At 36.5% G+C, this 21,859-nt stretch overlaps 1 protein-coding gene and 1 long non-coding RNA gene across 22 annotated transcripts in view, besides 1 other annotated feature; one reads left to right on the top strand and one right to left on the bottom strand.

Annotated features, from left to right (window-relative positions):
- Positions 1–8,174, top strand: part of LOC105373766 (uncharacterized) — a 39,495-nt gene extending 31,321 nt beyond the window's left edge. For both annotated transcript variants that reach the window (XR_001739140.2, XR_001739139.2), the window contains 2 exons: positions 1,452–1,525; positions 8,097–8,174. This is a non-coding gene — a long non-coding RNA (uncharacterized LOC105373766). The remainder of the gene's footprint in view (positions 1–1,451; positions 1,526–8,096) is intronic.
- CCDC141 (coiled-coil domain containing 141) overlaps positions 1–21,859 on the bottom strand; it is a 235,160-nt gene that overhangs the window by 99,207 nt on the left and 114,094 nt on the right. For all 20 annotated transcript variants that reach the window (XM_047443998.1, XM_047443994.1, XM_047443993.1 and 17 more), the window contains exon 7: positions 4,529–4,723. In XM_047443998.1, coding sequence (XP_047299954.1) covers positions 4,529–4,723 — 195 coding nt within the window. The remainder of the gene's footprint in view (positions 1–4,528; positions 4,724–21,859) is intronic.
- Positions 14,060–14,109: an enhancer, noted in NCBI's record as "active region_16812". NCBI's record gives its function as "activates an Ori minimal core promoter by ATAC-STARR-seq in GM12878 lymphoblastoid cells {active_cell/tissue: GM12878}" and the evidence as "EXISTENCE:reporter gene assay evidence [ECO:0000049][PMID:35858748]".

Below are 21,859 nucleotides of genomic sequence, written 5' to 3' on the forward strand. Positions count from 1 at the left end.
ATGCCATGTTCTCATAAGTCTTAGTAACATCTGATAATTAGAGGAACTTTTCTCCAATCAACTATTAGTCAATGTCGACAACTGACACTTACTTGTATATTCTGCTAAGCGATTTGACAAATAGGTTCATTCACCAAACACATTAGGAAACTCTAAAAAGAACAGGAAGTATATCAGATTCTTGAGTTATATGGCTCACTCCACTTGAATCCAGTGGTTGGTTTACAGCAAGCAGCAAGTTCCTAATGCTGTCTCAACATCGCCACCTGCTGCTCACTCCAGGTCCAAACATCCGTATCTCAAGCCACAGGCTGCCAGACACTTCCTCTGGGTGAGAAACATTCCTGAACCTTGGGTAATCATCAAACCCTAGCAGAATTAAAGGTAATCAATTGCACTCCTGGAGCCACTGGACAAAGGCAGTGGGGGAACTGTTGTCAATGTGGGCAATTAAGTGATAATTATATTTTACTGAATTTCACAAATTTTGTAAGTTTTGTTCTCTGCTATTTATTTTCTAGCATTTAGAACAATGCCTGACACATAGCAGTGGCTCAATAAATATATACTAAATAAGTGAATATCTAAAGAGAAGGGTAATTATTCTCATGAATTCACCTTTAAATAATAAAATAAATTATTGTAAAATATTTCTAGTAAATAATAATATCCCTATCTAGAATTGTTAGAGAGGGGAATGAATGAAAATGAAAGGAGGTGGGGTGTGGTGGCTCACACCTATAATCCCAGCACTTTGGGAGGCCAAGGAGGGTGGATCCCTTGAGCCCAGGAGCTCAAGACAAGCCTGAGCAACATGGCAAAATCCCATCTCTACAAAAAATACAAAAAATTAGCCTGGTATGGTGGAGTCCCAGTTGCCTGGGAGGCTGAGGTGAGAGGATTACCTGAGCCCCGGAGGTCAGGGCTACAGTGAGCTGTGATCATGCCACTGCACTTCAGCCTCGGTGACAGTGAGACCCTGTCCCCACCCCCTGAAAAAAAAAGAAAGAAAGAAAATGAAAGGAAAAGGGGGAAGAGGGACTCCTCAATGATTTTAACCAGGAATATGATAAAACCTGGATGAAAAAAGGAATATATATGATATGAGAAAATTACTAAGTCTATTCTGCAGATAAAATTGGATATTTATTCTTTTTATTTTAACTAAATTCAAAAAAGTAAAAAGTATATTTAAAAAATCATATATTTCACTTTTTACCAAGCAGATATTCAAGCTATCCCACTCACTCATTTATATATTGCCCATTACACTAACAAATTTGATACATTAGTATTTGACATAGAAATTGAAAAAGTATATTGACATAGCTTCAACGAATTTGGAACAAGAAGTTGTTTGCTGAAAAATAATTCCACTTTTCAAGAATGAAATTGATTTTCAAGGAAAGTACCTTTTTGTAAAGTGCTGACTTCACCTTTTATTCCTGCAGTGCTAACATCCAATTTGCATGTGCCGGGAGAGAAAATTCTTCATGGATCTCTGGTGCTCCTACACATCTCACTGGTAGGTCAAGAATACAAGACTCTGATCCCTTTATATCTGGGCCACTTCTCAGTGTTGGGTCTGCAACTAGCAACCTTCAGGATTGAGGTGATGTTGCCCTTCAAGACAAAGAGCAGGCATGCTTCCTATTTGCTGTAAAACTACAGATTCCCCAAGCTTAGGGTTCCTCTCCTGAACCCCACCTGCTGCAGTTGCATATATCCATCTGGGTCCATCTGCATCACTCAGGGGGATTTGGGGCTGGGAGAATTGATGTGGCATGCTGACACTCTGGCTGCTGCTTTGCTATAATCAATCACCTCTGAGCCAGAGGTCAGGTGTCTTCTGCAATCATCCATGAAACTGTGATAAGTTAACATGTTAGCTTGAATGTAGGGTAAAATCTCAAACCCCTCACAGTTCTTGAGAGCATGACTTCCTCTAAGAACAGGAATGTTCACAATTAGGAAACCCAGTGCACTCAAGGCACAACGAAGTGAATTTTCAAGAGGAAAATTCAGTGTTTCGGAGATAATTCATTATATAAACTGAACATAGCTTTTCACTAGTGTAAACAGAATTTTATTCTAGAAAAAACATTTTAAGGGATTTTGAAATTATATTAATTTTAAAACTTCAGTTCTTTATTTAAACTAGGGCTATAAGTGTCAGGCTAAAAATTGGGTAAAGTGGTCAAATTTTTATAAAATTTGGAGGTTTTACAATATAAATAAAAAAGAAAAATACCATTTATAAGCCACAAGAAGAGTTTTCTTCTTTGAGTAGATTTACACGACATAATTTCATCATTTATTTTACTTAATAATATAGTATAAATAATATAGTTATTTTACTTAATAACATAGTAAAAAATTCATTTCAACAGTCATGATTAAACATCTACATTCCAAACTCCAGCTTCTATTTTTGCTGAGGTAGAAATATCCATCATCTTTCACACTGAGTTCTTAGATTTGGAGTCAGAAATTATTTCCTTGATGCTTTGAAAAGGGAGAAAGGATTCTAACACTATTCTGAGTGCCACTTGTCTATAGAACCTGCTATAGTATGGATAAATCCCAGTGGAGCTTATTATAATTTGTATAGTTAGCATGCCATGGCTTTCAAATGATAAAATGGGGAATCTAGAAATCGAAAGTCTTTGTGATTATGAAACATAAATTCTCTACTCCAATCTGACCTGAATTACTGTATGAGTTTGAGAAAGTAACCACTCTCTTCTTCTTCTTCTTTTTTTTTTTAAAAAAAAGGCTTTTGCAGGAGATATTTCTTCTCTGTTAAAACCCAGAAAAATATCCCAGCAAAGTACAAAATAATGAGAGCAGAGAAAACAAAAGTAAGAGAATGGGAATGAAAGAGAGAAACTACATTTTGCAAGGCTGTAAACTATAGGGTTTGTACTGGAAGCATTGCTTTATAGCAATATGTTTGATAATGGTTTTCCTTAGAAACAATATTAACTGACTTGTAGATGACTCACTCATTTTGAAGAATGAATATGCAGTTTAAATTTAAAAGTCTCTTATTCAAAAACAGAATTACTGAGGAGAAACTTAACTAGCACCTAACATCTAATTAGTTCAATAGCTCCAGTAATATGGTATATCTGTTTCCTCTCTTAAAGAAATCCCAAATGACAAATAATCTGACAATAAATCTTTCTTTAACATTTTACCACAATTTAGCAACTCTGTTTTGAAATTTTACTATTTATTTTTTCAAAAAGTTTCTTATTAGTAAAGAAGTTCAAAATTAAGTCACTATTTTGATATACACCAGGACATTGTATTCAGGGTGTTGATGTTGTGATTTTTAGATCACAATGTACCTAGGTTCCAGGGTTTCCTCATTCATTTCCTGCCACATTGTCCGTTTTGAAAACATCAGTGAAATTTAAGGTATGAAACAATTCTAAAAACACCGTTTGAAGGTGTATATTACATTGGAAAAGGTAGAAAAAATTTTCAAATAAGATCACCAGCCTCTTACACTGAGCCGTACTCAAGTGATGTGAACAGGTGAACATTGCCACTTAGCAGGAACCACCTGCTGCAATCAATGTCCAATGAATCAGAGAGGAGAAGCAGAGCACTCCTCCAACTCAAGACCTGGAGATGGTCCACAGCCAGATTTCACTCTGGCTGACTTAAAAAGGCAAGACCAAGGTGGAACAATCAGGCTAAGGCACTGTTTCTAGCCTTACGGCTTGTGTGCAAAAAGGCTTGCAATATTCATATGTATTTTACCTGGTAAATTAAAGAGGATGAATAAAAGGAGGCCTTCGGTAAAAATTTTAAGGTATTTTTCAGCCTTGATACATTTATGATAATTCTCTTCCTCCATGGGAAACACTATAATGTGGGCACAAGTGTCCCCCCGAAACAGACCAGTGGCAGCTGTAAGATAAAACCCTCATGAGGCTAGGCATGGTGGCTCATGCCTACAATTTCAATATTTTGGGAGGCCAGCGCAGGAGGATCACTTGAGCCCAGGAGTTTGAGGCCAGCCTGCACAACATAGCAAGACCCTGTCTCTACCAAAAAAAAAAAGTAGTCAAGCATGGTGGCATGTGCCTATGATTCCAGCTACGTGGGAGGCTGAGGTGGGACAATCACTTGAGTCCAGGAGGTCGAGGCTGCAGTAAGCTATGATCACGCCACTACACTCCAGCCAGGGTGACAGAGCCAGGCCCTTTCTCAAAACAACAACAAAAACCATCCAATGAACCAAACCAAACCAAACAAAACAAAAAGACAAAAAACCCTCACGAGGTTTGTTTGTTGTTTTTAAAGTCACCTTTTACATGTGAAAACAGTCTTTCAGTTTTGAGAATCAAATAATGGCCATAATAGGAATATATGTTAAAAGCTCTCTTTGCTGCTATCAGTTTTGAAATTTTACATGGCGTTTTGACTTCTGTGATGTGCTCCAGTCAGTTGAAGTAATGGGTCTTTTACTGGTCTGCCTGATTACCGAAAATTATCAACTTGACCTCACACTGACCTTGTTAGCACTGTTAAAAAATTCATTCGCCTTCTTTAACCAGGTATTCCTTTCCACCATGAGTTGACCAAATTCTTCTTGAAGCTGACTGAGTTTCTGGTGAGAGAGCTGGAGGTGTTCTTTCTCCACGTAGTCCTTTGACAGCAGAATTCTCAGTGCCTCACTCTTCAGCTTCTCAACAGCAGAATTCCATTCCTGCAAGAGATTATTCTTATTATTTTATACATCTCCTCTGTTATGGACCGAATGCTTGTGTCCCCCCGAAATTCCTCTGCTGAAATCTAACCCCCAAGGTGATGATATTAGGAAGTAGGGCTTTGGGAGATGATTAGTGACCTTATGAAAGAGGCCTGAGAGGGCTGCCTTGCCCCTTCCACCATGTGAGGATACAGTAAGTTGGCAGTCTGCAACCCAGAAGAGGGTTTTCACCACAACTCTACCGTGCTGGCACCCTGATCTCAAACTTCTCACACCCAGGACAATGAGACATAAATATCTATTGTATACAAGCCATTCAGTCTATGTTACTTTGTTATAGAAACTCAAACTGACAAAGACACCTCTTTTTATAATTTCTGATAAGATTCAGAGAATATTTAGATATGCTGAGTATATCAAAAATCTGCCATTCGATTTTCAAATCATGAAATTGTAGTAAATATTGTAGTGGTAAATGCTTCACTACAGGTTTGAGTACCATGTAGATGTAGTGGGAAAAGACACAGAAAGAGGCTAAAAAGGGAGAGTAGAAAGAGGCAGGAAGTTGGGATGAGTGACTGGCAGAGCTACCAGCTGACCTGAATACAGGTCACTTCCATTTCTGTGAACTCCACCTAAAAATATACCCCCTATACAATGAACAACAGTTTTAAATCTTGAACTCATTTTGTCCGATGTGTATTCATTTAAGTATAAAAACATATCTTTCCCACAATTCAGTCTCACTGTCAATGCAGGTAAATGTGTACAAGAAATGAAGAGAAATCACATGTCTTATGACTGTTGTTTTTGTGTCTGCCTACAATTACAGCTATTAGGTTGGTACAAAGGTAATTGTGGTTTTTGCCATTAAAAGTAATTACCTTTGCACCAACCTAATAAAATGAAGTTCTGTTACTCCTCATAAAATGAATAGCTGTTATTGTTCGGTATTTTCTCCTTCATGATATCGGTTTCACCTCTCAAGGCTTCACTCTTAATGGTATATAGACCTTTCAGAAAATGAAAAGAGGTAGCTTTTTACTTTTTGTTGCATGAGAATGGAAAAACATTAAACAGAATTAAAATATGAGTTGGAGTAAACCAAACATATTTACATTCAATTTATTTGAAGGGAAATTCAAGTTTCTTGCAAAAGTCCTGAAGTCAGACCCACTGTCATAAAAGAATGATTATCTCTAACATGACTGTCTTGTTAGTGAATCTTCTGGTATCCATATAAGCTGCGGTTGAGTGATAGGCATAGGCTACTTGTGAAGCGTGGAAAATTTAGCACAAGATTTCAGAAGTCTCAGTCTGACTCCATCCTGCCTTGTTCTACCAGTACAAAGTATCCTATTATTAAGTTACATTTGTTATATTACATTGTGTAAAATCAGCACAATTTTAGTGCAATTTGCCATTATTGTTTCCATTCATTCATTTTACAAAGTAACTACTATGGTACTACTATGTCCCCAGCACTATGCTAAGACAGATGCCTTGGGGAATATAAAGAAAGAATAAAATGGCTTGTGTGGTGGCTCACGTTTGTAATCCCAGCACTTTGGGAGGCCAAGGCAAGCAGATGGCATGAGCCCAGGAGTTTGAGACCAGCCTGGGCAACATGGCAAAACCCTGTCTCTACAAAAAATGCAAAAAATTAGCTGGGCATAGTGGCGCATGCTTGTAGTTCCAGCTACTCGGTGGGGCTGAGGTAGGAGGATCGCTTGAGACCAGGAAGTTGAGGCTGCAGTGAATTGTGATCATGTCACTGAACTCCATACACACACACACACACACACACACACACACACACTCAATACAATAGTATTTTAAATAACAATTAGCAGATGTTAAGATAGAAACTGTACATATTATTTTGTGGTGTCCATGGAAACTGTTATAGTTTTAGGTGCAAAAGAAAAACATTTTGATCAATGAATACAGGAGTATAAAATGTAGAGTAAGAAATTTGAATTATTTGAAGTATCAGTTATATAAAATTGTGGCTTATAACTATAATCCTCAAAAACCCTTAAATTAGATATTATTATTTTTTCTAGTATTGACATAGGTTCAGAAGAGTATGCTACTCAAGGTTACGTATCCAGTAAGAGGCAGTACCAGGACTAGTTCACAGGTCTTTGTCTCATGCTACCTTCCAGGGAACTGAGGATAGACTCCAAAATCTGCAATTTCTCAGTGCATGCAAAAGCAGCACTCTTAAGCATGGATATGGGCTACGTGAGTTCTCAAGATCTTTCAATTTTTAAAGAGCTATTGTGTCCCCACTTAAGGAAAACTAATATGTGCCAAGATGTTCTTTCATAAAGCACTTTTATTACCGTTACCACTTAAAAACCATTACTTTAACCTACTGGGAATGAGCAAATATTTTTAAAACAGTACAATTTCTGGCACACATAATAGGCACTCACTAAGTGTTAGTCCCACTTTTCTGAGCATCAGTTTTGGTTCATTAGCTCTCCAAATGTGTTCTTTATTTATGGGTATTCCCATTACCCACTTGTAAAATAATGGCAGTGAAATATTTCCCAAAATGTTATTGATTAGTGTTAAGTATTGAACAGTCTTATGAGATGAAACAAAGTAAAACAGGTTTTTTTTTGTGGTTTTCGTTTGTTTTTGTTTTTTTTTACTGCAGTACTTCTTGGCATCTTTAATGTATTAATGTGCATTGAGACTCTCCTAGAGGAAAGTGTGGTGTGGAATATTTTGGGCAAACTCTTTTGATTAATAAACTGTTTGTAGTCATCTCAGGGGACCAATGCTCCAGTTGGAACAATGTTGGGGAAAAACGTTCTATAGCTAAGAGCAGCTGAATCACCAACTGGGTTCACCAGCTCCCACAAGTCTTTCTGTTTCGTTCTTTGTTTTGTCCCTGTTCTCCAGCTCCTCTGTTAGTTCATTTCCTCTCTTTGTACCATCCTTTCTTCTTCTGTCTGTTCAGATCTGTGGGGCATTAATACTCAAACTCAGGTGGAGAAATAATGTGTAAAGATGCAGAATAAAGCAGGTAATTCTTTAAAAAGATTTGGCATTGATCAGAACTTTCTGTGCGATTAGGGGAGACTACTTAATGAATATGGAGAAGCTGGGGAGGGCCTAGAAAAACAGGGGCAAGGAAAATGCAGAAGTTAGGATATGAAGAAATGAAATATAGCCATTGCGTGCTCAGTCTAACAACACTAAGCTCTAGGATGTTGTCTTAACTGTCTGCAAGATGGTAAGGGTTGATTTTTCTTTCTGTATGTTAGTGGTGTGCTAAATGCTTTACATGCATTATGTCATTTAATTTTTATCATATCCTTATGAGGTAGGAACTGTTATTATCTTCATTTTACAGATGGAGTAACTGGGGCCAAGGGAGATTACCAACTTGCCCAAGATGTCAACATTAGTAAGAGAAAGAGCCAAATTTCAAACTCAGGTAGTTTGACTCTACAATCTGCTATCTCAACCAGATTTCCAGCCCAGCTCTTCTCAGTCTTGACACACTGTTTTTCTCATCAAAGAATGATTAACCATATTATTTTGGAATTGCCTAGGTAAAACTTCCACATGGCCTGGACAAGACCTCGGAGGTGATAAAAATCTTGTATGACCCTGGGATTCTCAGATTTGAAATCAGAAGGCTCGCTATTTCAGAATAAACACAAAGCTAATATAGATATAGTTGAAAATTTACAGCCCAAACTTAGACTTAGTTTTGCTTAGCAACTGGACCAAAATAATAAACAAGAAGAGAAATACCTGTTCTCCAGCGATTTCATAAATCTGCCTTCAGTATAAATTTTGCAGACAACATTAAAGAAAGACCTTTGGAGTAGAGCCAAGCCTTTGAAAACCCACTTTAACCTTGTGCTTGGCACTGTGCTATAAAAAGTTTACTGTGACCTTCCAAAGAAACTGTAAGGGGCCATTTTGTGGCTCTTATCTTTTTTTGTTCTCCATCCCCAGTCTTCTTAATTACATTTTCACATGAACTCTGTGGGTATTAAATGAAGCTGGGTCCATTCAGTATTTCTGTTCAATCTTCTCAGAAAATTGGTTCTGTTTTCTTTGGGCAATCTATAGGCAGTTTCTGATGCATTTCTCTACCATTCTGGTAATGTATTTATTTCCCCAGCCATTTTTCATAGGGGACACTTCCACCAGTTTATTTTTTTTTTTTCTTTTTTTTTTTTTGAGACGGAGTCTCGCTCTGTCGCCCAGGCTGGAGTGCAGTGGCGGGATCTCGGCTCACTGCAAGCTCCGCCTCCCGGGTTCACGCCATTCTCCTGCCTCAGCCTCCCAAGTAGCTGGGACTACAGGCGCCCGCCACTACGCCCGGCTAATTTTTTGTATTTTTAGTAGAGACGGGGTTTCACCATTTTAGCCGGGATGGTCTCGATCTCCTGACCTCGTGATCCGCCCGCCTCGGCCTCCCAAAGTGCTGGGATTACAGGCGTGAGCCACCGCGCCCGGCCCCACCAGTTTATTTTTAAGATGAAACTTTCCAGAGCAATTTGAATCCATCACACTATTTAAAAAATATAGTTGTCACCCTTGTCAAGGCTAGAGGAGCCCAATGGAGAAAATCTCGTTCTGTTTTCTCTAAGCCGTTGCTGCCTGCCTGCGAAGTGTTAAACTTCTAACAGGGTCTCAGTCACTTTGCAATAAAATATTTCCAGTACTTGTCCCCACCAGCAGAAAGCCAAAGCCTTCCATTTCCTTGGCTTTTCAATTTGACAGAGATGCGTGCGTATCTCCGACCCGATACAGACGTGAGGCCCTGTGTGTTTCCAGGTTTGTGGTGTCTCCATAGGTCACTCCGTTATTTTCATTTTTCACTCACAGTAGGAACCTTTTTAACTGTACCTTTCAGTATTCCATTTCCTGAGGAAATTGAGCTTTTCTTGGATCCCTTGATTGAAAGGGTACTTTTAAGAGGATTAGTGCTGACAGACAAGAAGGCGAAAAAGATTTCTTCTTTCCTTCCCCCCACTGCTAGTCCTAGCTTAGCTCTTTAAATGAAGTTATGAACTGGCATAACAATTATCCAGCAAGCAGATCCAAAAAGTAAGAATGTTAGCTGCTCCAACTGAAAAGAAAAAATAATAATAACTACAGTATGTTTAGTAAGCTTTTGCTCACACAAAAACTTCCCTGTGTATGAGGGGATTTTAACCATTCAACATCAGGTGGTAAATTTTCGTTATAAGCTTGACTTCAGAATATAAGTTTTAAGTGGGGGAAAGGTGGACCAAAAAACAATTGGGAATATATTTGAAAACTACTAAAAAATATTAACTGTGGAGATTACTGGCCAAAATCAAATCTGGGAGAAGCATGTGTTGAGTTCATGTATAGTTCCCAAAGCATGGCTGATTCCTAGACCATCTCATTAGACATAGCCTATTTCTTGTTTAACCCTCAAGTCTACAGTTCCATTCAGAACAACTAGAATTAACTCATTGACACAAAATCATAGAATTTTACATGATTGTATTAACAGATGGTAAAACAAACCTGGCAATTTTAATCATAGAATATTTGAAAGTCTGCTTAAGATTTTTTTTTTTTACAGAAATGTTTATGCTTTTGAAGAGTGGCATTGAGCCCTTTAGAAGTTGAAACTCTGATTATGTCAAGTTGGATTATAAATTGGGTGGTAGTCTCTTCTCATGCTCCCTTCAGGGGCATTTCTATGCTGACCTATACAAATGTCAGGGTCATTCTGGAGAGAAGTGTCTTGCCTCAGTCTCCCATGCTTGCTGAGTTCAGTGTCTACACGCCATTTAAACTTCACCCTCACTATGATGCAGTCCAGCAAAGGCACAGATTGCAAACAGGAAGAACTGTGATTTAGCATTTCACCTAGAGATGAAAGAAGTGTGCTGTTTCACCTCCCAGACATATGGTAGAAAATCATTGCGACTGAACCAGGGAGAGCTTGTGGGTAAGAGCAAAGAACTCCAGCTAGAGTGGTACACTTTTTATTCCAAGCTTGTTAAGTAGCTTCAGGAAGAAGATTTTGCTTTTTGAGCCTTGCTTTTACTTCAGTGCAATGACAGTCACCACCAGTTGGTACATTTCTGCTTCTCTAGTGACTCATCTGTTAATTCAGTGACAAATTAGCTGTGCTTCAAGTTCCTGGATTTCATGCCCTCCTAAAATGTGGGATACTGGCTGTTTGATCCAGAAATCAACCTTACCAGAATTGGAATTGCAAGTCTATAATAGAAGTGACAGATATCACCAAATTAATTTCTGAGTATTAGCTGCTGCTTTCTTATCTTAGTTCATTTAGATATTTTAGTGTTAGATATTTAGTTCGTTTATTTTAGTTCATTCAGATATTTTTAAAGTTGCAGGAAAATAGCCTATGACTTGGAAATCTCTTGTTTCCCTTATTCTCTTCGGTGTTTGGCCACTGAGTGGACCCACTAAGCAGCACTTTAGCAGCGTGAAGCACAGGGTGCTTGTTGCTAATAAATACTGAAGCAAATGGCTATGTGGCAAAATACAATTTGAAAATGAAATCACAACACACTGTGCTCATAAACAAATCTTCAAAATAGTGATTGGAGCACAAATGCATTTCTTCTTTCTTCCTTGGTTCAACATAGATGAAAATTTAATTACACAGGAATTCTGGGGAAAATATTCCCAAGATTTGTGTATTCCAAGAACCATTTTCTTCTTTAGTGTCTTGTCCCTGTTTTTCTTAGATTTCTTGTTCCTATTAATCACGTTTTCTTCTAGTTAAGTAACAGAGCCTGGTTGGTGTTTCCATTTTAAATTAAATTTAATAAAAGTCTAGCTGGCCAAAATACTTGCATCTAACACAATTTGCCTACAATCAGATTGTGCCATGGACTGACCAGGTGGTCCTAGTTTATCTTAATGTTCTCGGAGGACTTACTTTTTCATTGTCTACACAATCCATTGAGATCCATTTCAGGATCTCAACACATCTAACTCAGCTACAGGGGAAATTATTAGGTTGTGATGTTTACCTTTTGTGGTGATTTCCCTAAATGAAATAGGCTAACTTAATAGAAGGGAGGGTCTGTTTATGTTTTATCCACAATAAACCTCAAATATAGACTTTTTTAAAAAGGCTCTTAAATCTGATTGGCTGTTATTATCTCCTGGGAAAGTTTTAAAAACACATATTTCCAGGCTCACCCCCTATCCACTGAATCATAATTTATATTGGTAGGGTGAAAAAAATAAGGATTTAAAAAAAAATCTGAAGCATTTTATTTGCAATCACGGACAAGGAAATGACACTTACAATCAGACAAATTTTGGAACCACTGATCCAGAATATTCTAAGGTATTTAATGAATAGGTAATATTTGATTTAGAATAATTGATATATAATTATACCAAAAATTGGAAGATAGATTCTATAAAAATAGTAGTTTAAACCTTAAAACTTTCAACTAACTTGACTCTGAAAATTACATTATTGGATTAATGACTTCTAAATCTAAAATTTAACTTTAGTTTTACAAATTACTTCATTCACTCAATAAGTATTGAGCTAGCCTGTGGAAGATAGAATGACAAATAAACAAAATCCTCACCCTTAGGCGCCTTGAATGATTGTTACACCAATCCATCAGGAGTTTAAACAGCCCTGTGCAATATTGGATATCATTAGTCTTAATTCATAAAGATGAAACTGACGCATTTCTTCCTACTTTCTTCATTCACATCATTGTCTCAACAAAGGTGCCACTAATTTAAAAGGGAAAAGGATCCAAAAGTACAGCTGGATATAAAGAACAAGTTCTAATGTTCTATAACACTGTAGGATGACCATAATATATATTTTCAAATAGCTAGAAGAAAGGATATTGGATGTTCCCAACACAGAGAAATGATAAATGTTTGAGATGATGGATTTGTAATTAGCCCAATCTGATATACATACATATGTTATATGCATTGGAACATCACTATGTACCCCATAAATATGTACAATTATTATGTGTCACTTTAAAGAAAAAAGCTAAGAAAAGGTAAAAAATATGATCAGGTTTTTCTTTCCCAAAATTGTCTATATGCCCATGTGGTTATTTTTACCTTCCTTGTAAAATTTGTGTAACTATATTTATAATAGCTATGTACTCTATTATAGGAAAAATCCTTACCTCTAATGGTATGGAAGAAATCACTTGTCTTCTAACAAAATTCACTGAAAGCTAGAATTTTTTCAACTCATCTTTTTGCAGGCTCTGGTTTTCAGCTCACCACTAAGTATATGCACAGGACTCTCATTCTATACTCAATAATCTGTGAACCAGCTGCAAATGATACTGGGATGGGCATTCCATAACTCTCCTACACTGAATGTGGAACCATCTAAAAAGCATTATTCAGCACCTTTTATGAACACAAGCTCAAACAGGAAGCAAAACGAGTGTGTAGCAGAAAGTGAAATCAGTTTCTGCTTTGGGGTATCTGAGAAGCCGTCTTATTGGGTCTTAAATACGTGCAGGGATTTCAGCTGGTGAGCGTAGAGGTGGGCCTGGGGAGAGAGCAAGGATGACACACCATGTCCCAAGCAGGAGAGACAGCTCGAGCCAGAGCACTGAAGCAAGGGGGTCGGTGTTATCAAGAGAATGTGGAGGACGATTCTGGATCATAGAGCAATGGAGCTAATGGTGTCTGGAGAATTAATAAGAGTTTCCTATAGGAAGCAATATCTGAGCTGAGACCTCAAACAAGCTGTGGGAGTTATCCAGGCAAAAAAGGAGTGGAGGTGGGGTGGGGAGTGAAGGGTGACAGAAAAATGAGTTATTAAGAATGAAAAGAGATATAAAGTGAATAGGAGATAGAACCAGTGAGATCTAGAATAGGATCCATTTCTCCCAGAAATGAGGAGAAAGAGAAGTAAAAGAGAGAAGCAACGAAGAGACAAAAAGTCTGGGCACCGAAGAAAAGAACAAGCAATTTCACTCTGTGTGACTAGGCGACTTTGAGGTTAGTTAAAGCCTGGCTCCATAGTGGTTGAGAATTTTAAAAGAGCACGAAGGTTTTGGACTAGTTGTTATGGGGAATGGAGCAGGGAATTAACAGATGATAAATAAAGGGATTTGTAAGGCTAACTGGTAACAGATAAATTACATTTTAAATAGAACCAATCAGAATAATTATGCTAATTGTTTCAGAATTAGGAAGAAACAGAGAAACCGGGTGACTGAGTTTACTCACAACAGTCCTGGTGGTCCACGCTGAGTAGCACAAGGACAGAGGCCAGGAAAAGACAGAAGGCAGGGAGGTTGTGATGAGTGCAGTTTTGGGTGATGTCATAAAACAAAGTGTGGTGGCCACAGGAGTGGGAAGCTGAAGCTAGCTGAAAATAGGCCTTTGGAGTAAAGAAGGTCAAGGACAGCGAAGGCTAGGGCATTAAATAAGTCACTAAATGGCTAAATTAGCACAGGAAGGTTGTAGGCGGTTCACAGATTGACTGTGTTAAGGTATAAGAAGTCCTCTCAGGTGTTCACTTAAAGTGGATTCAATTTCACTCTTATTATCATGATAGCAAAATACCATGCAATATAATAGTATTAACTGTAAAAAGCCATGCTTTCCGGGACATTTTATTTAAGGGCTGACAAATGCCAGGAAAAAAAAAGATATATGAGGAATTTTTGTAAAAGTCAAAACTAAAAATACTTTTCTAAGCATTTAAACTTAACGAGCTGGTAAAGATTCTGTAAGCAAAATAACAGCAGGTAGTTTTAAACCTCATGATCATAGATCATAGAGCACAATGTTCTTTATTTGCTTTCTTAACTCAGCCCTTTCTTAGATGGGCAAAAACATTTTGGAGGGACTTTCTAAATTCAGCTTTCCCTTGGAAATTAAAACACAGGGTTCACTAAGCTTTAAATTGAGCTGCAAATTAAGGCTAGAATAGGGTTACCAATATGAAAACCCCATCATTATGTGGACATTCCCAATGCTTGCTGGCAAATTCAATACTATTTGTATATATTTTGCATGTTAGTAATAAAATGATTTCTAATTTATGTTCTGTGAAAAATGACATCTGCTTTTACCTGGAAAGTTCATTAAAGAATCAGACAAGTAAAACAAATTATTCACTAAAATGAAGACAGGGGAATTGAAATGCTCTGATGCAGGTGTCTTACTCTTTGGAGAACTCATTTAATTTCTGCCTTGAGACATTTCAGATTCAGACCCCACTTTATTTTTTAAATTAGATGAAACATTATAAAACAGACTCTCTTTCATTTTATTGATTTTCTTTGTAATCATCAGATATGTGAGCTGATTTACTGAAGCAATATATTTTATAGTGATTTTACAATTTTTTCACATACCTTTGGTGAAGGAATTTGGGGAGGTAATGAAAGTTCAAATAGCAGAAGCGTCTGCTTTTTTATACAGGTTAATAAATGCAGCAATGAGAAGAAAATTGTTCAACAATGCCTGTGAAACACTTGGAAAATATGTGGATATCCTGGACACTATGATTATACAAACTCTGGATATTGCTACATACCTCTTTAACTACCCACGAGACGTATAAGTAGCTCCTTTTTTAATAAATATAAGTGCTACTTCTGAGGAAATATTCCTATTTTTGAAGATAAACAGAACATTTAAATACTTGTCTTTTGATCTTCAATTACCTCAGTAATGTATCTAGGACTAAATACAAACAACAACAAAAAAATTAAGTTGTAAGCTTGGTCAAACATGTCCACACCTTAAGAGACTCAAAGATTTATTTTGACTTATATCTTCTGAGTTTTAACAATGACCCAGTATTCTGACTCTATCACTTACACTCTCTTTCATTGTGCAATTATTTCCCTCATAACCTTTGTTATCCAAAAGGGAGCCCCGAGACCAGCAGCATCATTACCCTGGAGATTGTTAGTAATGTAGATACTAAGGCCCCACTCTAAAGCTGATGAATCAGAATCTGCCTTTAAAATATATGGGTAATTCATGAGTACACTGTAGTTTGAGAAGCTCTGGTCTAGAATACACTGAAGTAGCAGCTTTTTACAACTAGACAGATGAGCAAAACACAAGTGAACAAAGAATATAGAAGGGGAAACTTGCAGATGATATGATCGTACATGCAGAAAACCCTAAGGAATAATTTTTAAAAATTAAAGCAAATAAATTAAATCAGTAAAGTTGGAGAGTATAAAATCAACGTTAAAAAAAAATCACTTGTGTTTCTATAGAATAGCATTGAACAACCTGAAAAGGAAATTAAGAAAATGATTTCATTCATGGTAGCATCAAAAAAAGTAAAATACCTAGGAATAAATTTAATCAAGGAGATGGAAAACTTATACAAGGAAAATTACAAAACATTGTTAAAAAATGAAAAACCTAAATAAATGGCAAGATATCACATGATCATGAATTGGAGAACTTAATGTTGTTAAGATGGCAATACTCCCCAAAGTACTGTAGGGATACAATGCAATCCCTATCAGAATCTCACTGGCCTTTTTTGAAGAAATGGAAATGCTGATCCTAATATTAATGTGGAATTGGAAAGGACCCTGAATAGCCAAAACAATCATGATAAATAAGAAGAAAATTAGAGAACTTATACTTCCAGATTTTAAAACTTACTACAATCCTACAGTAATCAAAGCAGTGTGTCAAACTGGCATGAAGATAGACATATAGATTTACAGAATAGAAGAGTCCAGAAATAAACCCACACATCTGTGGTCAATTAATTTTCAGTGAGTGTGCCAAAGTCCTTCAACAGAGAAAGAATATTTTTTTCCAACAAATTGTGCAGGGACAATTGAATATCCACATGCAAACTAATGAAGTTAGACCCTTACCTCACACCATACACAAAATTTAACTCAAAATGGAACAAAGATCTAAATACATACACTAAAGCCATCAAATTCTTAGAAGAAAACATAAGGGATAAATTTTCATAATTTTGGATTTGATGATGGTTTCTTAGATATGACACCAAAAACATAGCAAAAAATTTAAGATAGATAAATAAAACTTTATCAAAATTAAAACTTTTACTTATCAAAGAACATTTTGGTCAAAGGGCTTGAATAGACATTTTTTCACAGAAGATATACAAATGGTCAGCCAGTAAATGAAAAGATCTGCAACATCATTAGTTATTAGGGAAATGCAAGTAAGAATCACAATGAACTAGCACTTCATGCAGACTATGACGACTATAAAAATCAAACAAAATGAAAAATAACAAGTGCTGAAGAGGATGTAGAGAAATTGGAATCTTCTACCTTTCTGGTAGAAATATAAAACAGAGCAGCTGCTATGGAAAAATAGCATAGTAACTTCTTGTAAGTTAAGTACAGAAATACCACATGGTCTAGCAATTCTACTCCTAGGTATTACCCAAAAGAATTGAAAAGAGGTATTCAAAAAAAACCCATATACATGAATGTTCATAGCAGCACTATTAACACTAGAAAAAGGTGAAAACAACCCAAATGCCTATCAACTGAGGAATGGCTAAATGAAAGGTGGTATATCCATACAATGGAATATTATTCAGCCATAAAAAGGAAGTTTTAATACATGCTGCAACATGGATAGACCTGAAAAACATGCAAAGTGAAAGAATTCAGACACAAAAAGCCATTAAATATTATTTTATTTAATGGTATTTCCAGAATAGGTAAATACATGGACACAGAAAGCAGATTAGTGGTTGTCAGGGGCCGAGGGGAGAGAGGAATGAAGATTGACTGCTTAATGAGTGTGGTGTTTCTTTTTGGAGTTATGAAAATATTCTGAACTAGGTAGCCATGATAGTTACACAATACTGTGAATTTACTAAATGTCACTAATGATAAATTTTATGTAATATTTACTTTACCATTTTTTCTTAAAGCCCATATTATGTTGTGTTTCTGTTGTGTGAGGCATTGTGCTAAGAACTGTTATATATGGCCAGATATGGTGACTCACGCGTGTAATCCCTGCACTTTGGGAGGCTGAGGAGGGCAGTTCACTTGAGGTGAGGAGTTCGAGACCAGCCTGGCCAACATGATGAAACCCCGTCTCTACTAAAAATTAGCTGGGGCATGGTTATGCATGCTTGTAATCCCAGCTACTCAAGAGGCTGAGGCAAGAGAATTGCTTGAACCTAGGAGGCAGAGCCTGAATAAGCCATGATTGTGCCACTGCACTCCAGCCTAGGTGACAGAGTGAGACGCAGTCTCAAAAAACAAAAACAAAAACAAAAAAACACACACACATGCACACAAAACTGTTATATACAACCACGTTTAATCTTCACAACAAACTCTGTAAATTAGGTACAATTGTTACCCCTTTCACAAAAAGGGACTGGAACCTAGGCCCAAATACATAAGAAATTTGCCCAAGATTATATCAGAAGTAAGCAGAGATGCTCAAATTTAACTCCAATTCCCTTGCCTGAGGGCTGCCATGCTGTATACTGCCTGGGAGTGTCCCATTCACTCTCTGCTAAGTAGTCTAAGATGCTATATGTTGCCACTTCAAATAATGTATATCTACACGGTTTGGTAACATGTAATCCTTAGAAAACACATTTAAAATATGTGTTAAAATGAGGAAATGCTTATGATATAATGTTAATTGGAAAAAAATCATTGAAAAACAACACATACAATTTTTTGTGTATACATACACACATATAGTGTATATGTGCACACAATACACAATTTTGGAACACTCATATGTAATTGTTTTATATTTCTTTCCTATTTCCATATACACCCACATACGGTGTGATTTTAATTTTCTTTTGTTTAGTTTTATGTCATTTCTATTTTTTCTAAAATGAGAAGGTACTGTGTAATCAGAAAAATAAAACAATAAACATATTTTGAAAGAGACTTTCTTGCATTGGCTCTACTGATGACAATTATGCATTTAAATTACTTAAATAAGCTTGTGGGAGATTCTGCTTTACTTCCTTATCCTATATTTATAAATATTTTTTAACTTTAAACTGAGCTCTTTCCTTTGACTATAGTTTCTGTGGGACCTAAGCACTGGTATTTTCTGAAGATCTCCAAATAATATTATTTGAAGGAACTTGGGGCCAAGATCACAAATCCAATTTATGAAATCACTCAGTAACAACTAGAAAATATTTTCAATGACTTGGAAAATCGGATTAGATGATGAATTGTGGAAGATGGTTTTAATCTTGAGGCTGAGATACGTGAATGCTGCTATATTAAAACATTTAAGATGATGTTTCTATACACAATTTTCAGTTTTGCTTCTCTCCCATAACTTTAAAAATTATTATTAATCAAGAACTTCATGAACAATATATGTCATAATATAAGACAACAATATAAGAAGTCATCTATAAAAATTAAGAGGGACATGTACATACATGAAACACATGGGCAAAATGTCTAAGTTGGTGCCTCTTAAATTTTAGCATGAATACAAATCCTCTTGGGGAATTTGTTAAAACACAGTCTCATTCAATAAGTGTGATGGGTGGATTTGAGATTCTTAATCTCTAACAACTCTCTGATGTTGCTGTTGTTCTATGGGAGTCACACCTTGAATAACAAGGCTATAAGTTTCCTTTAAGCCTTAAAGATGGAGATTAATAACCTCCATCTCGAAAGAGATCATGCCTTTCCTAAAGTCACTCCCATTCAAACCGCAGTAGTTTCTTAAGTGATTTTCTGTCTTCTGTCTCCCTCCCATTACTGTCATTCACATTGTTTCCAAGGTAATCTCCTAAAATGCAAATCAGTTGAAGCTATACTTTGCTTGGATGATATTTCATTGCCCATCTGGTCTCAAATCCAAATGCTTACAGCAGCCAGGCACATAATGTGAATGAGTGAAGCAAGGGTAAGAGGAGGGGTAGGTCATGAGGAATAGTGGCAAACTAAGGACTGTGGCAGACTGATGTGTGCATACCTTTTCTAAAAGAAACGTATTACTGGGCTCCAGCCAGGAGTCACTATGTCTATGTGGGAAGATGAGTCTGATAATGCCAAATCTTCTAGTTTTTTTAAAGAAACAGGAAATCTAGATTTCTTTTTTAACAGAAACTCCAACATTTTAAGATTGACATTTTTTTTTAGGCTGGATGCCCACCAAAACCTACATAGAATCTCTAGGAATGAGATGCAGACATCAGTATTTTTTTCAACACCCCCCAGGTGACTCCAGTGTGCAGCCAGAGTTGAGAAACACTAACCCACACATTCCCCATGGCACCAACTACAGAGGGCCTGAACTTAACCAAGGGTTGAAGCTATAGAAGTACAGATTGGTTCCTGAAGGGAGTTCTATTATACGAACATTATTTCTGATGTGTAAGAGAAGGACTGATTATGCCTTCTCAAAAAAAATAATTAGCAAGTATTTGTTTGCATAGTATTTTAATACCTCCTACAACAAATTCTGAGTTTCAAAGGTTGAATTCAAGCTTTGGGGCATCAAGTTGATTTATAATACAATTTAAGAGTATTTAAGGTTTTAAACCAAAGGATGGTTTATAATCATCCATGTCTGCTATTTCATTGTCTCTTATATATGCAAAAGAAAAAAGAATTTTCATATTCGGTAAAGAAAGTATAATTAAAACAATTACCCAGAGTCAAAGGTCGTATTTAAAAATCCTTTAGTTCATTTATTTCAACACATCCTGAATAAAGTATCACATTTATTAAGAGCTATGAAAGTTGCTGTGTTTCTTGTTCTGAATGTATTCCAGTAAGAAATGATAGAGGCATTTTCAAAGTTTACTTAGAAAGAACTTACTGAGTAGACTAACAAGCCATATACACCAGCTTCCTGCTGTTGAATTGAGCTGTGGGTAGCAGAGAACACCTGCTTTCTCTGTGTTACCACATTATTTATAGGAGCTTCACTAATGAATCCTCAGCTTGATGCCTTATTTCTATGTTAAATCTTCTTTGAAAGGAACATTTCCTATTCTGTGCCTCATATCCACACCCAAACAAAAGTCCAAAATGTAATATGCTGCTTACTATTTAAGGACACATAAAATTGAATTTCTTTTCCATGAACAAGAAATTAGATTGTTGAAAAACCACAGATAAAAACTATTTGGAAGTTTACACTATGGATGGGAAAGGAAACAAAACAATATTTTTGGAGTCGCTACTAAAATGTGGATACTTTCACAAACATTTTCTTTTTTTTAACTTTTATTTTATGTTCAGGGATACAGTGAAGGTTTGTTACATAGGTAAACTCCTGTCACGGGGTTTGTTGTACAGATTATTTCATCACCCAGGTATTAAGCCCAGTCCCCAATAGTTATCTTTTCTGCTCCTCTTCCTTCCCCCATCCTCCACCCTCAAGAAGACCCCAGTGTCGATTGTTTTCTTCTTTGTGTTCATAAGTGCTCATGATTTGACTCTCACTTATATGTGAAAACATGCAGTATTTTGTTTTCTGTTCCTGCATTAGTTTGCTAAGGATAATAGCCTCCAGCTCCATCCATGTTCCTGCAAAGGACATGATCTCATTCTTTTTTATGGCTGCATAGTATTCCATGGTGTATATGTACCACATTTTCTTTATTCAATCTGTCATTGATGGGCATTTAGGATCATTTTATGTCTTCCCTGTTGTGAATAGTGCTACAGTGAACATTCACATGCATGTGTCTTTATGGTAGAATGATTTATATTCCTCTGGGTATATGCCCAGTAATGGGATTGCTGGGTTGAATGGTAGTTCTGCTTTTAGCTTTAAGGAGTCTCCATACTGTGATTTACACACTCCTATCAATGGTGTATAAGTGTTCCCTTTGCTCTGCAACTTCACCAACATCTGTTATTTTTTGACTTTGCCATTCAGACTGGTGTGAGATGGTATCTCATTGTGGTTTTTATTTGTATTTCTCTAATAATCAGTGATATTGAGCTTTTTTTTCATGTTTGTGGGCTACATGTATGTCTTCTTTTGAGAAGTGTCTGTTCATGTCCTTTATCCACTTTTTAATGGAGTTGTTTGTTTTTCTCTTGTACATTTGTTTAAGTTCCTTATATATGCTGGCTATTAGGCCTTTGTCAGATGCATAGTTTATAAATATTTTCTCCCATTCTGTAG

This window comes from Homo sapiens, chromosome 2 (assembly GCF_000001405.40).
Source record: "Homo sapiens chromosome 2, GRCh38.p14 Primary Assembly".
Classification (NCBI taxonomy): domain Eukaryota; kingdom Metazoa; phylum Chordata; class Mammalia; order Primates; family Hominidae; genus Homo; species Homo sapiens.